Below are 13,174 nucleotides of genomic sequence, written 5' to 3' on the forward strand. Positions count from 1 at the left end.
TCTCTACTGAAAATACAAAAATTAGCCAGGCATGATGATGCGCTCCTGTAGTCCCAGCTACTCAGGAGGCTGAGGGAGGAGAATCGCTTGAAGCCTGGAGGCAGAGGTTGCAGTGAGCTAGACTGCGCCACTGCACTCCAGCCTGGGCGACAGAGCAAAACCCTGTCTCAAAAAAAAAAAAACCCATGAATCTCCGCAGATGTGTCCTTCCTTGTTGAACAGGGCCCTCGGATGCACATAGCTGTGTCCTTGCCCTAAGGTAACGTTAAATTGAGTTGTGTTGCGGCCTTGCATGCATTTGGAATTTAGTGTTTTCTGCAGGAGAAAGAATGAGCCTGGGAAGACTGTTCTTTTCGACTCCCTCGTAAGTTAAAGACTTTAGAAGTCATTTAGGGAAAAAGTAGTTCTGAATTGCTAAAAGAAATCCGATCCCAGGGCTTGACGGGGTAGACACTGAACATGCAGCTGACCCCAGAAGCTCCTCTCCGGAACGCCTGCAGTTAGGCAGCGCCCTCCTAGGCCACTCTCCACCCTGGACTTCCTCTCCGCGGTGGTGTTTGTTTCAATGCTGCCGTAATGAAACTGCAGTTTGGTGAGGGAAGGCCAAGTTACAGCTGTAATCAGGATCATTTCATTCCAAGTAATACGTTTTCTTTCTCAGACTAAATTTGGGTTGGTTAAAGCTAAGGTATTTAAAATACTGTTCTAGGCCGGGCGCGGTGGCTCACGCCTGTAATCCCAGCACTTTGGGAGGCTGAGGCAGGCAGATCACTTGAGGTCAGAAGTTCAAGACCAGCCTGGCCAACATGGTGAAACCCCATCTCTACTGAAAATACAAAAATTAGCCGGGTGTGGTGGCAGGCGCCTGTAGTCCCAGCTACTCAGGAGGCTGAGGCAGGAGAATCGCTTGAACCCGGGAGGCGGAGGTTGCAGTGAGCCGAGATGGCACCCCTGCACTCCAGCCTGGGCGACAGAGCAACAAAATTCTGTCTCAAAAAATAAATAAGTAAGTAAAATATTGTTCTAAAACCCTAGTAATTTTCTTCCCAAACCTATTTCACCCATGGGATTTTCCTCTAGCAAACCTATTTTTTCCCAGTGCCGACCTCACTTTCCCCACTTGTCCGACCTGCTGCCCAGGCGTCGAGGAAATCGATTGTCTCGTTGGCCGAGTGTGGTGCTGACTTGGTTCCTGTCCCGCAGGCCTGGAGGAGAAACCCACCATTGCGTTTGCCACAATCCCCGCGGCTGGTGGAGTCATCCAGACGGTGGCCAGCCAGATGGCCCCCGGGGTCCCCGGACACACGGTCACCATCCTGCAGCCCGCCACACCCGTGACCCTCGGGCAGCACCACCTTCCAGTCCGGGCCGTGACCCAGAACGGAAAGCATGCGGTTCCCACGAACAGTTTAGCCGGCAACGCTTACGGTGAGGCCCTGGCCCTGTTCTCCATGCCACATCCCAAGCTCTGTGGCTCCCAGTAGTCAGTGCGGCATGAGAATGTTCTCCCAGTATCTCCCGATCCTCCACTCAGTTCAATTTATTGAGCACCTGCTATACTCCAGGCACTGGGGTAATGCAAAGAAAAAGAGGGTGGAAGGGGCCACCTATCATCCCAGCACCTTGGGAGGCCAAGGCAGGCAGATCGCTTGAGCTCAGGAGTTCGAGACCAGCCCGGGCAACATAGCAAGACCCCATCTCTACATAAGATTCAAAAACTTAGCCAGGTGTGGTGTTGCACGCTCATGGTCCCAGCTGCTTGGGAGAGTGAGGCTGTAGTCAGCTGTGATTGCTCCGCTACCTGCCAGCCTGGGTGACTGAGCGAGACCCTGTCCCTTTAAAAAAAAAGTGGGGGGAAAGAAAACAGGGTGGAAGGAAAACCCAGATCTGCCCACTCTCTGGAGCTCACACTCCATGGGGTGAGGCAAGAGGTCAAAGGAAGGAGGAGAGTTGGGGTGCTGGGGTGCAAGGGTGCTGGGCGGGGGTGCAGGGTACCAGGGCACCGGGCGCATTGTCAGTGGGGTGGCTCAGGGCAGTGCATCTGTGTAAAGGAGTGAGGCAAGCCGTCGATGTCCAGCAGGATCTAGACAGCAATGAGAGGGGCCTCCACCCAACAGGCTGGAGCCAGCAGAGACAGGGCAGATGAGGTGGGGAGGGGACGGCAGGGCCCGCAGGGAGCAGAGCAAGGGTAGCCGTCCTGCCTGGCAGGGGTGCACTGACCTCCGGTTCCGGCTTGGTGGCTTAGCCCCTGTATAGGGGACTTGAAAAAAGCAGCTGGGTCCTAACCAGACCCCAGAGTAACCCTCTTCTTCCTCCACTCCAGCCCTCACCAGCCCTTTGCAGCTCCTTGCGACCCAAGCGAGTTCATCCGCGCCGGTGGTGGTCACCCGGGTGTGCGAGGTGGGGCCCAAGGAGCCAGCAGCAGCCGTCGCGGCCACGGCCACCACCACCCCAGCCACTGCCACCACCGCCTCTGCCTCCGCCTCTTCCACTGGAGAGCCCGAGGTCAAAAGGTCCCGGGTGGAGGAGCCCAGTGGTGCTGTAACCACACCGGCTGGAGTGATCGCAGCTGCCGGCCCCCAGGGGCCAGGCACCGGGGAGTGAGGTCACCTGCAACGCGGGGGAGTGGGACTCACCCAGCGGCGACCCCGAAGCTGGACCCGGCAGCTCAGGCGGCCGCACCCACAGACGGAGGAGAACAGCCCGCGGCGGCCTGTGGGCATCGGCGGCACCTGGACACACCCAGCCCTTTCCATTTGATCGCCTGCCTTCCCGTGGTTTAAGACAAAAACACATAAACAAGTTCAGACAACTGATTGTATGATTCTGGGAATTCTTTGCTTTCCTTTCCTTCTCCCTCGGCACCACCTCCTCTCCCCAGGCCTCCCTGTCGGGCATGGGGAGGAGGTTGGAGCTCAGCATCTTGAGGAATGTGTCAAGACAGCCCCTCCGCTCCGCGCTGCACGGCCAGCCGCCTTTGTCCGGGAGGACAGACAGAAACGCAGCAAGGCACACACCAAGGCTGCCGGGGAGGCCCGGGCACCGGACAGATGCCTGTTGGGAAGCCAGGAGCTGCCGAGCCACGGACCACCTAACAGCCTCTCCGCCCGGAACGTGACATAGAGAGTGTTGGCATTAACTCGGGGGGTGTCCGATTTCACTTCAGACCCCAAGTTTTTCTTTGTTTGTTTAAACATGGAATTCAGACTTCATTGTACACCTGAGACAGACACAAAAGGGATCATGTATTTTTGAGGATTTTACCTGTTGACGTCTGATGACCGGCCGTAGGTCCAGGGTTCCCGCTGGGTTTAATCCCCTCGAAGAGTAAACCTGCCGCTCTGTCTGATAACTTCAAGTAAGAGCAGCGGCTTCCTGGGTTGGCGTTCGCGGTGGAAGGTTCCTAGGATGAAAGGTGAGCCTGGATCCGCCGGCCGCAGACATCGCGCTGCTGGGGACGATTGGGGCCGCTGCTCTGCAGACCAGACCTTCCCGAATTATCCGTGGCTCCGATGTCCCGGTGCTGACGGCCACATGGGGACCTAACAGTGCCAAACGCCATCTGCTCCAGCTGCTTTTTCACCCAGTTGCAGAGTCCTCACCACTCCCACATTGATCTGCTGTTTTCAATTGGAACCATTTCTCCTGCCTGAAACTCCAGGGCCCCTCCCTGGGCTGTCCGTGAGCAGGAGACCCCACCCCAGCAGCAGTGGTGAGCAGGCCTGTGCCTCCACGCCCAGCCCCCGCCAACGCGACTGGTTTTGTTTGCCACACGGTGAGAACCGGAGGACGGGATGCTCCAGCCAGTTGGGTGGTTCTGGGGTCCCTGAGGAAGCCCCCTCCTGCACTTCCATTAAGACAGCCAGTGGTTCCTGGATCTTTGTCACCAAGCAGCGTTGAGCCAGAGCTGTCTAATGCTGAGCCCAGCTCAGGAAGGAGAGAGGAGTCCTTCAGTGTGTCTTGGAGATGCGAAGTGCGTCCTCGTAAAGGTCAGCTGTCAGTTTTGCTGGCCGCTCCGGCGCTGGCTCTCCTGTCCGGGACCACAACGAGAAACAGCGACAGATTCGACGCAGAGCTCCGGAAGTGCCTGAGGAGCAGTGGTTCTTGGAAATCGCCCGTCCTCCGCATCACAGCCTCTCACCAGCAAAGCAGCCTCTGCCCAGGCCCTGGCGGGAGAGCTGCAGAGGGACCCAGGTGCCTGGAGGGCATTTGAGGGAGGTGGCTGGACAGGTGTCTCCCTGAAGAAGAAGGGAGAACACTTTTCAAAGTGATTCCGAGGCAGTGCGGGAGGACACACGTGCTGTGCAGTGGAGTGGGGTCGCCCGTGGCCCCCATCAGAGTCCCCGTCCCCCAGGACAAGTGCAGAACCTCTGTGGGCCCCCTCCTTCCACCTAGATAGAGAAAACCCCTTGTTCGGTTTCCTTCCCGTGTCCCGTTGTTTTTCTAAGCCCCCCGAATTGAGTCGTTTCTATGGCACTAACCTTTCCATGGGAAATAAGCTCTTTGTGGAAGTCCGTACCTGTTGCCCTGGGTGAGGTTTCAGAGAAACGGGGGCAGGATGAACACAGCCGGCTGTCCTGGGTGCAGTTACGTCCGTGGAGGGTGAGAGATTGCGCCCCGTTCCACACTTGTGTCGCCTGCTGTTGTCTGTGGGCCTTTTCTTTCCGTGGTGCCTGGTGTGTGCGTGCATGGCGTGAGAGAACGGGGGGTGGGGGTTGGAGGTGGCTCCCCGACACCGGTGCCTGTGTGGCCTGAGCCGGCGCCCTCCCGGGAGCGCCCGTCACGGGGGGCCTCTGTGATTACCTGCTGCTGCTCTCTCCCGCGTGGTGACTATATGTCCTCAGGGCTGCCTGTGGCCACCCTGATGGGAGACCTCTGTTTGCTTCTGGGCCACTGCAGGTTGGCCTCCTCAATACAAGCTGATGTCTGCAGGGAGCGCCGCGTGCTGGGATTGCACCACGTGTTGGTCACAAATCGAGGTCGCCTTTTGGCCTGGTCTGCTCAGGCTGGCCCTGACCCACGTGGTTTCCTGGCTTCTGAGACGCAGCGCATTCTTCCTGTTAGCGGTAGCGTTCTCTGATTTCACTGCTTCATTGCCAAGGGCGTGGAAAGGGGGTGGTGGATGGAGCCGGGAGGTGGCGAGCACAGGACCCCGGGGCTGCATTCTGCCGTGTGGGGTTCTGCACTGTCTAGCTTCTGCGGGGACTGCAAAGAGGGATGAAGGGACGTGGTCCTAGGGGTCGGCTCAGACTCGGAGCAGGGCAGGGAGAGGAGGGCAAGGAGAGGAGGCCTGGGTCCTGGATCCACTGCTCTGGGCTCATAACCATGAGATTTTGAAAGAGTTTTTGGTCATCTGAGCAGGTACCATGCCTGGCTCATGCCGGAACTTGTCTTGGAACCGGTAGCCAGAGGCCCAGGAAGGGACAGGGCCCAAAAGGGTTGCATGTCCCGGCCACAAAGCCCTCCCTGTGTGCCCTGAGCCAGCCCAGCAAGCGCCTCCCAGCCAGGCGCTTTCGCAGAAGCAAGAGCACAGGCCAGGGGGACCGGGAGAGCCTCAGCCCCCAGCCTGGGCGGCCTGTGACCCTGAGCCGTGTGGAGCCAGGACCCAAGAACCTTCTCTAGGTTCTCAAGGGTGAGCTGACCCGGGCAATGTGCAGGAATGTGGGGAGCAAAAGTAGCTGATTCCAGCCCCGTTCTGGGGTCACTGGGGAGGCAGAGGCTGAGGGCCTGTTCTCTGGTCACCAGGGACTGGGGGCACGGTCCACAGCGGATGAGAACAGCAGGTCACAGTAGTGGCTTTGGGAAGGGCCCCTCCTGCTTTGCCCTGTTCGGAAAGGGGCTCCCTCAGAGCCCCTGGGCCCAGTAACCCGCTTCTGTCTCCTGACTCCTGCTGGATAAATTGCCAGGTTTATCAAATACAAGAAAACACCTGCTTTGGCTAGGAGGTAAGTCCCAAAAAGAACGTCTTAAGTAGAGCAAAGGCATCCACCGAGGCCATTTGGTGGCCCCTGGGAAGTGGGGAAGCAGGGCCTGAGCGTCCCCAGGCTGCTAGGGCAGCAGCTGGCTCAGGGCACACTCTCTCGTGCCAGCTTCTGCCACCAGCCCAGTGTCCACGGAGCCGCGGGGCCAGAGGAGCTCAGGGAGACCTGGCTGTCTAGGGCATGGTACCCAGTATCCCGGTGTGTGCCCATCCTCAGCCACTTGTGTCTTTCTTTCCATGTGGGAGTTCTCCCGGTGACACCTGCCCTCCGTTGAGGGTGGAATCTGTCACTCATGCCTTTGAGGGACCCAGATGGACCATCCCTCTTCTGCTTGCTTTCTACATTCCTAAAAACCTCAACGTTAATCCCTCACCAGTCGGGCCGAGTGTGGCCTCATGGTTCTGCCGCGGCCCAGTCTTCTCCCACTGGCTTCACGCTAGAGGGCGCCATGCGCTCTGGGTGAAATGAGACGCTGGTGTGGGGTCCCCATGTAGAGACCCTCAGGTCCCTATCCAGAGACCCTCCAGGCAGTGCTGGGAAGACACTGGTGGCGGGGACCATGACCAGGCGGGTGGAGCCATGTGTGTCTCACACCTGCCGCCCCTCACTTTCCTTCCCGAGGTCTGGTAGGTCCTCTTTGGGATTTGCTGTTTATTTGTATCTCCCTTTTCTTTGATTTAAGAACAATGCCAAGTGAAAAAGCTGGGAATGAATTTCTGAGTTGCTGAGTGTTCCCTGCTCCTAGGTACCACGCTCTGTGCTTCTCAGGCAGGGAGGAGATGGATTCGGTGGAGTTGGGCCAGGACGGGGGCTTCACCCTGCCCCCTCCAGACTGCCGAAGCCCCCAAGAAGTTTTGAGCCCAGCTGGGCCTCGCCTCCCCGGCTCCTGGGTCCATTTTCTGTACTGGTTTGAGATCACAGGCATCATTCAGCGAATGCTCTTGTGTCCTCTGCATAAAGAGGGCCCTCCCTGGAGCACCCCCGGGGAGCTGGGACTCTCCAGAAAGCCCCGGGTGAGGGCTCCGTCTTGAGAGAGAGAGAAATCCCTTCTTTGGGCGATTCAGTGAGTTCAGGAGGAGGAGGAAGCTTTTCCTTGGCTTTGAAATCAGTGTTTTTATGGAGACAAAGAACAGACCTCAGTGGGAAAAATGAAAACGTAATGGAACACGGGGAGGTGTCGGAGAAGAAAGGATTTTCCCCTTCGCTTTCAGAGCCGGCGGGAGTGCAGGTCTGTTTTGCTTCAGAAGCCTCACATTCTGCTTTGCCCTTGAGTGACTTCATGCGGGATGAGGAACTGTTGACCCCTCTAGAGAGGACACCCCAAGTCCATCCTGGGCTCCTCCTCACCCCTCTGAGAAAGCCCCCCTAAAAAAAGGCTTCAGAGTCACCGGCATGCCGCCTCACGTTGCAGGACGGAATCGCGCGCTCCTCACGCTGGAGTAAGTTACGAAACATGATCGTCAGGCTCTTTGCAAACGCAGAGCCCCAGAACGCTGGATGGAGGCCTCCTCGGCCCTGCGGGCGGCCTGGCTGCGGTAGGTCTGCTGCAAGGAGCCACCACGGGGACTGCGCCACACTCCTGATGAAAACGTGTTTACCCACAGCCTCGCCTCGAGCCTCCTTGACAATACCGCTGCTTCAAAGCAATATTATTTAATGAGAATACTTTACATTGCTCACATGTGCTGCTATGAAGACAGGATTAGTCTGTAGACGGGACTCAGCTCCAGAGGTTCCTGGGTAATGTATTGTGGCTCTTGGAAATGAGGGTAGAATTTGAAATATAACAAATGGTCTCTCGCCCGGTTCTGTCCCTTATTTTTAGATTGTTTTCCTGCATCTTACAATTTCCTTTTCTTTTCAAAGTTCCTTTCTCCAGGCCTGTTTTTCAGTGCTCAGGACACGGTTTTCATCACATACTTACTGTTTTTTTGGTTGGGTTTTGATACGAAAAGCTGCTACGTTTGGTGACCAGAGGGAGGGTTTGGAATCTGTGCTTTGCAGGGGATCTCGGTGGGTACCGCGGCCCCTCGCAGGGTGGCGAGTGGGGTCCGTGCCTCGAGAAGGGGGCCCTTACCCACACCGTGCGGCTTGAATTCTGTCGGAGTTGAATCTGTGGAAAGGATTGTCCCATTAGAGCTGCTGCGTCCTTTCCTCTGTCCTCCCTGTCACCCAAACCCCGAAGTCACAGCTGCTTAGAAGAATGGGATTTTGGGGATACAACCACACACATTTCCCTCTGGACTGAAATTTTAAAAACAGACCCATTTCACTGACTTCTTTTTTTTTTTTTTTTTTTTTTTTTTTTTGAGACGGAGTCTCGCTCTGTCGCCCAGGCTGGAGTGCAGTGGCGTGATCTCGGCTCACTGCAAGCTCCGCCTCCCGGGTTCACGCCATTCTCCTGCCTCAGCCTCCCGAGTAGCTGGGACTACAGGCGCCCGCTACCACGCCCGGCTAATTTTTTGTATTTTTAGTAGAGACGGGGTTTCACCGTGTTAGCCAGGATGGTCTCGATCTCCTGACCTCGTGATCCGCCCGCCTCGGCCTCCCAAAGTGCTGGGATTACAGGCGTGAGCCACCGCGCCCGGCCCACTGACTTCTTTAGGGAAAATAGTTTCAGTCTTGGGTTGTCTTGTGAGCCCACGGGCATGGGACCCTGTCTCTGCTGGGCTTTTCCGGCCCCGTCCCAGCTCCTCCTCAGGCAGAGGCTGCAGCCCTCAGCTCTGCTGCTGGATGGAACATTTCAACCCCCTCCGGGAAGGTGGGCAGGGTGGAGGGCCCAGGGCTAGGCCTGCCATGCACCATGAGCAGGGGTGCTACCTGGGTGTGTGAAGTTGGGCTGGCTTTTCCTGGAGGTGGGTGAGAAGGCTCTCCGGGCAAATCAGAAGGCCACGAGAGAGAGAGGAGCGGGGAGAGTGGTGAGGAGGATTCGTCTCTGACTGATGAACCTCGCCGTGCCTGTCTGTCACATCCAAGTCTGTGCCAGCTGCTGGGAGGTCAGACTCCTGCCCTGAGAAACAGCCCAGTCCTTGGAGAATGAAACCCTGAGGGTCAGTGAGTGGAGGCCTTCCCTCGGGGCCAGCCATTCCCGGGAGGCCTGAGTGTGACCTGGAAGCTCTGTGGGTCACCAAGACTGGCATTTTCCTTGTATTTTTGTGCAGGGCTGAAGTGAGCGTTCCTCCTCTGAATTGGTGAGGCTTTGGAAATTTTTTGTTTCTTCTACTCATCCTAATGGCTGGTTTTGGCTGCCCGGAGTATCAGAGAATATCACTAAGAGGGCAGTCAGTTTATTTTTAGGCATCTTTCTTTCTGTCCAGGGAGAAACCCCTCGGAAGAATCTTAGTCACTCTTTGCACCTGCCCTGTCATTCTCGCCATGGGGAAAATGCGTTGAAAAGAAAAATACCGGGGCCAGGGAGAAGCCGTGAATGTATTTATTTGCTTTGGTGAAGCTGCTGAACACTGGCTGCGGAGGGCCCCCCGCCCCCATCCCGCTTCAGGCCCCAGTGACCCAGTTGCGTCTTAAGTTCCATCGTCCAGATTTCAGGCCACCAGAGGCTGCCAAAGGTGACTGAAGCGGTCTCCAAGTCACTCTGTCACCACTTTTTTTTTTTTTGAGATGGAGTCTCGCTCTATCGCCCAGGCTGGAGTGCAGTGGCCCAATCTCGGCTCACTGCAACCTCCGCCTCCCAGGTTCGAGCGAATTCTCCTGCCTCAACCTCCCAAGTAGCTGGGATTACAGGCACCTGCCACCACACCCGGCTAATTTTTGTATTTCTAATAGAGATGAGAGTGTTACCATGTTGGTCAGGCTGGTCTTGAACTCCTGACCTCAGGTGATCTGCCCACCTCAACCTCCCAAAGTGCTGGGATTATAGGCATGAGCCACCGCGCCTGGCCTCTGTCACTTTTTTTGCTCCTTACCCAGTTTTTGTTTTTTGTTGTTTTGTTTTGTTTTAGCGTGATACTACAATGGAAAGACTCCTAGTTGGTTATTCTTTATCTCGGATTCTTTTTTCTGGAATTGTTTGCTCATTTGAGTGGTTGGTGGTTTGCCCTGTGTCAGACACGGTGAAAAGAGTGCAGGAAAGCTGGGGCCAGGGGAAGCGAAGTGGCTTCAATCCGGGCTGACAGCCAAGAAGAGTTTTCCTCCCTTCGGTGACAGGGCCTGCCCCTCCGAGTCTAGAGGTAAAAGCAGCTTCTAGAACTGGCCCCTAAGTCTCCAAATGTGTTGGCTAAGCTGAAATGAGAGACTCTGAATTAGAGTTTTTGTTTGTTTGTTTGTTCTCTGCATGAAGTTCACAGGCCTGTATGGATGTTAAATTGTGTCTATAGCCTCTAAATCTCCAGGTTAACTGGTCCAGATTTTTTTTTTTTAATCAGTAACAATGGGAATTTAAAATCAAATATTTGGCCAGGTGCGGTGGCTCATGCCCGTAATCCCAGCACTTTGGGAGGCCGAGGCAGGCGCATCACCTGAGGAGTTTGAGACCAGCCTGACCAACATGGTGAAATCCTGTCTCTACTAAAAATACAAAAAATTAGCCAGGCGTGGTGGCGTGTGCCTGTAATCCCAGCTACCAGGGAGGCTGAGGCATGAGAATCGCTTGAACCTGGGAGATGGAGGTTGCAGTGAGCCGAGATCATGCCACTGCACTCCAGCCTGGGCAACAGAGGGAGACTCTGTCTCAAAAATAATAATCAAATCAAGTATTTTAAGTTTGGCTCTTCTTTTTTTCAAGAAAGGCTTTTTGGATACCTAGAATACCTTCATGTATGTGGCTTGATTTCTGTTTCAGGAAAAGGGGGGCGGGAGGAGAGACAACAGCCGTGTTCCAGAGTCTGTCCTGAGATGTCGCTGAGTCCAGACACTTGGGCTGCACGTGCCCTGCAGATGACAAAGGCCGGCAGCTCAGCACACGTGCAGGAGGGGTTAAAGCCAATATTGAGTTTTTGTTCTTGTTGTTTTAATCTGAACGATTATTCTCCTGTAAAAATAATTTGGGAGGGGCGGGTGTTGTTCGGTGTGTGTGTGTGTGTGTGTGTGTGTGTGTGTGTGTGTATTTTTTTTTTTACAGTGGCGCCTGTCTAAAGTATTTTTCACAACATGTTTGATAATCAGTGCTTTAAAAAGCAGCAGTGTCCTATGAAGTGGAAATGTCAGTTCTAGAGCATTGGATGTGAAGTTCTGGTCATGTCACCTTGCGTGTCTCACCCTGGAGGAGTGAAGGTGGGCGCCCGGCGGGGGGGTGTGGCTGCACCCCAGCACCGGGAGGGGGCACGCACGACACCAGAGGAAGGGACAGCCCCACCCATGTCAACAGCAGGCAACCTGTGTTTTCATTTCAAGTGGGATACAGTATTTTTTTAATAAGGAGCCATACTTTTTTTTAAGAGTTTGAGATCTGAATGTGATTTCTAATTGTATCAGACGTTAATGTTTTAAAGCTATAACAAAGTTTAAAATTTCTACTTTTTGTTTTTCATTTATTTTAACTGTTCTTTTATCTATTAAATTGTTGTATGTGGATGGGGAAGTTTTGTTTCTCCTCTTAGCATTTGTTTCTATAACCAGAAATAAAATTCTATATTAAAGAAATGACCCTGCGGCTCCGGTGTGGTCCTTCTGCGCAGGTGGCTACTGAAGGTGGCGGACGGACAGACGGCCTGGACACACAGACACCAGGCCCCTGGACACATAGGCTCCCGACCCCCTGGATACACAAACACCTGACCCCCTGGACACACAGGCTCCTGACCCCCGGACACACAGACCCCTGAGCCCCTAGACATACAGGCACCTGGCCCCCTGGACACAGAGGCTCCCGACCCCCTAGACATACAGGCTCCCGGCCCCCTGGACACACAGGCCCCTGACCCCCTGGACACACAGGCCCCTGACCCCCTGGACACACAGACCCCTGACCCCTGGACACACAGACCCCTGAGCCCCTGGACATACAGGCTCCCGGCCCCCTAGACACACAGGCTCCCGACCCCCTGGACACACAGACCCCTGACCCCTGGACACACAGACCCCTGAGCCCCTGGACATACAGGCTCCCGGCCCCCTGGACACACAGGCACTGCGCCCCCCTGCTCCAGAGGCTGAAGGGCGGCTGCTGATAAGGGAAGTCGCCCATAGGTCCCTGGTGTCCCGTTCCTGGCTCACACAGGAGATGCTTCTGCAGGTGCCTGTGGCTCCTGGAGTCAGTGACCCCCACCCACTGAGAGTGCTCTAAGCGAGGATGTTTGCAGCTCCAGGAATGTGAAGACAACGTGTGTCTCCCCTCAGACATGGCAAAGGCAGAAACCAGCTGAGCCAACCCCCTGCCCCTGGCACACGCCCACATCCTGGCTGGGGGGCACTTGCAGGTACTCGTTGCTGCCCCAGTGGCTCCTGGGCAACTGTGGGTCCTTCCTGCTGGCCCTTGGCTAGATGAGAATTTCTACCCATGTCCAAGATGGGTAGAAATGTACGTGGGTAGAAATTCTCTCAGGCCTTACTTATTGTAGGTGTGGGGCCTGGGGGGTGGGGATGGCATTGACTTTGGAACTACACAGACCTGGGTTCAAGTTCCTACTGTGTCCTTACCAGCTGTGGGACTTCAGCTTGCAATGCGCCCCACTTCTTCACATGCAGCACAGGCACCCCCACCCCACAGGCCTGGCGCCCCGAAGCTCAGCTGCGATGCCATCAGTCACTGTCTCTTCTGAGAGTCCCCCAGACTTATGAGACCCTTGGGTGTGTCTGTGTGACTGCCTCCGACAGACTTGACAGTGGTGCATGCTTGTCACATGTCTCTCTTCTGTCAAGGTTCTGTAGTGTTTGCATGTGACTCCCTCAGTTCAATAACTTGCATTTTTCCGATGGCACAGTTACCCACCATTGCAGGTAAGGTTTCACTGCTTCTCTGTCTTCCTTCAAGTTACTCCATTTCCATTGTAAGAGGTTAACATAACTTTAACAGATTAGTTCTAGTTTAAGATGTCAGCCCAGGCTGGGCGCGGTGGCTCACGCCTGTAATCCCAGCACTTTGGGAGGCCAAGGCGGGTGGATCATTTGAGGTCAGCAGTTCAAGACCAGCCTGGACAACATGGTAAAACCCCGTCTCTACTAAAAAAAATACAAAAAATTAACTAGGCATGGTGGCTTGCACCTGTAATCCCAGTTACCTGGGAGGCTGAGGCAGG

At 55.4% G+C, this 13,174-nt stretch overlaps 1 protein-coding gene across 1 annotated transcript in view, besides 1 other annotated feature; it reads left to right on the top strand.

The window, feature by feature from the left end:
- FOXK1 (forkhead box K1) overlaps nucleotides 1-11,582 on the top strand; it is an 89,148-nt gene extending 77,566 nt beyond the window's left edge. The window contains exons 8-9 of the mRNA NM_001037165.2: nucleotides 1,204-1,428; nucleotides 2,324-11,582. Of these exons, the coding sequence (NP_001032242.1) occupies nucleotides 1,204-1,428; nucleotides 2,324-2,604 (506 nt within the window). The 3' untranslated portion in view covers nucleotides 2,605-11,582. The remainder of the gene's footprint in view (nucleotides 1-1,203; nucleotides 1,429-2,323) is intronic.
- Nucleotides 561-1,760: an enhancer, noted in NCBI's record as "BRD4-independent group 4 enhancer chr7:4800052-4801251 (GRCh37/hg19 assembly coordinates)". NCBI's record gives its function as "activates an origin of replication core promoter dependent on BRD2, P300/CBP, MED14 and CDK7 cofactors, and independent of BRD4, by STARR-seq in HCT116 cells {active_cell/tissue: HCT116}" and the evidence as "EXISTENCE:reporter gene assay evidence [ECO:0000049][PMID:35650434]".

Source organism: Homo sapiens, chromosome 7, assembly GCF_000001405.40.
Source record: "Homo sapiens chromosome 7, GRCh38.p14 Primary Assembly".
Classification (NCBI taxonomy): Eukaryota; Metazoa; Chordata; class Mammalia; order Primates; family Hominidae; genus Homo; species Homo sapiens.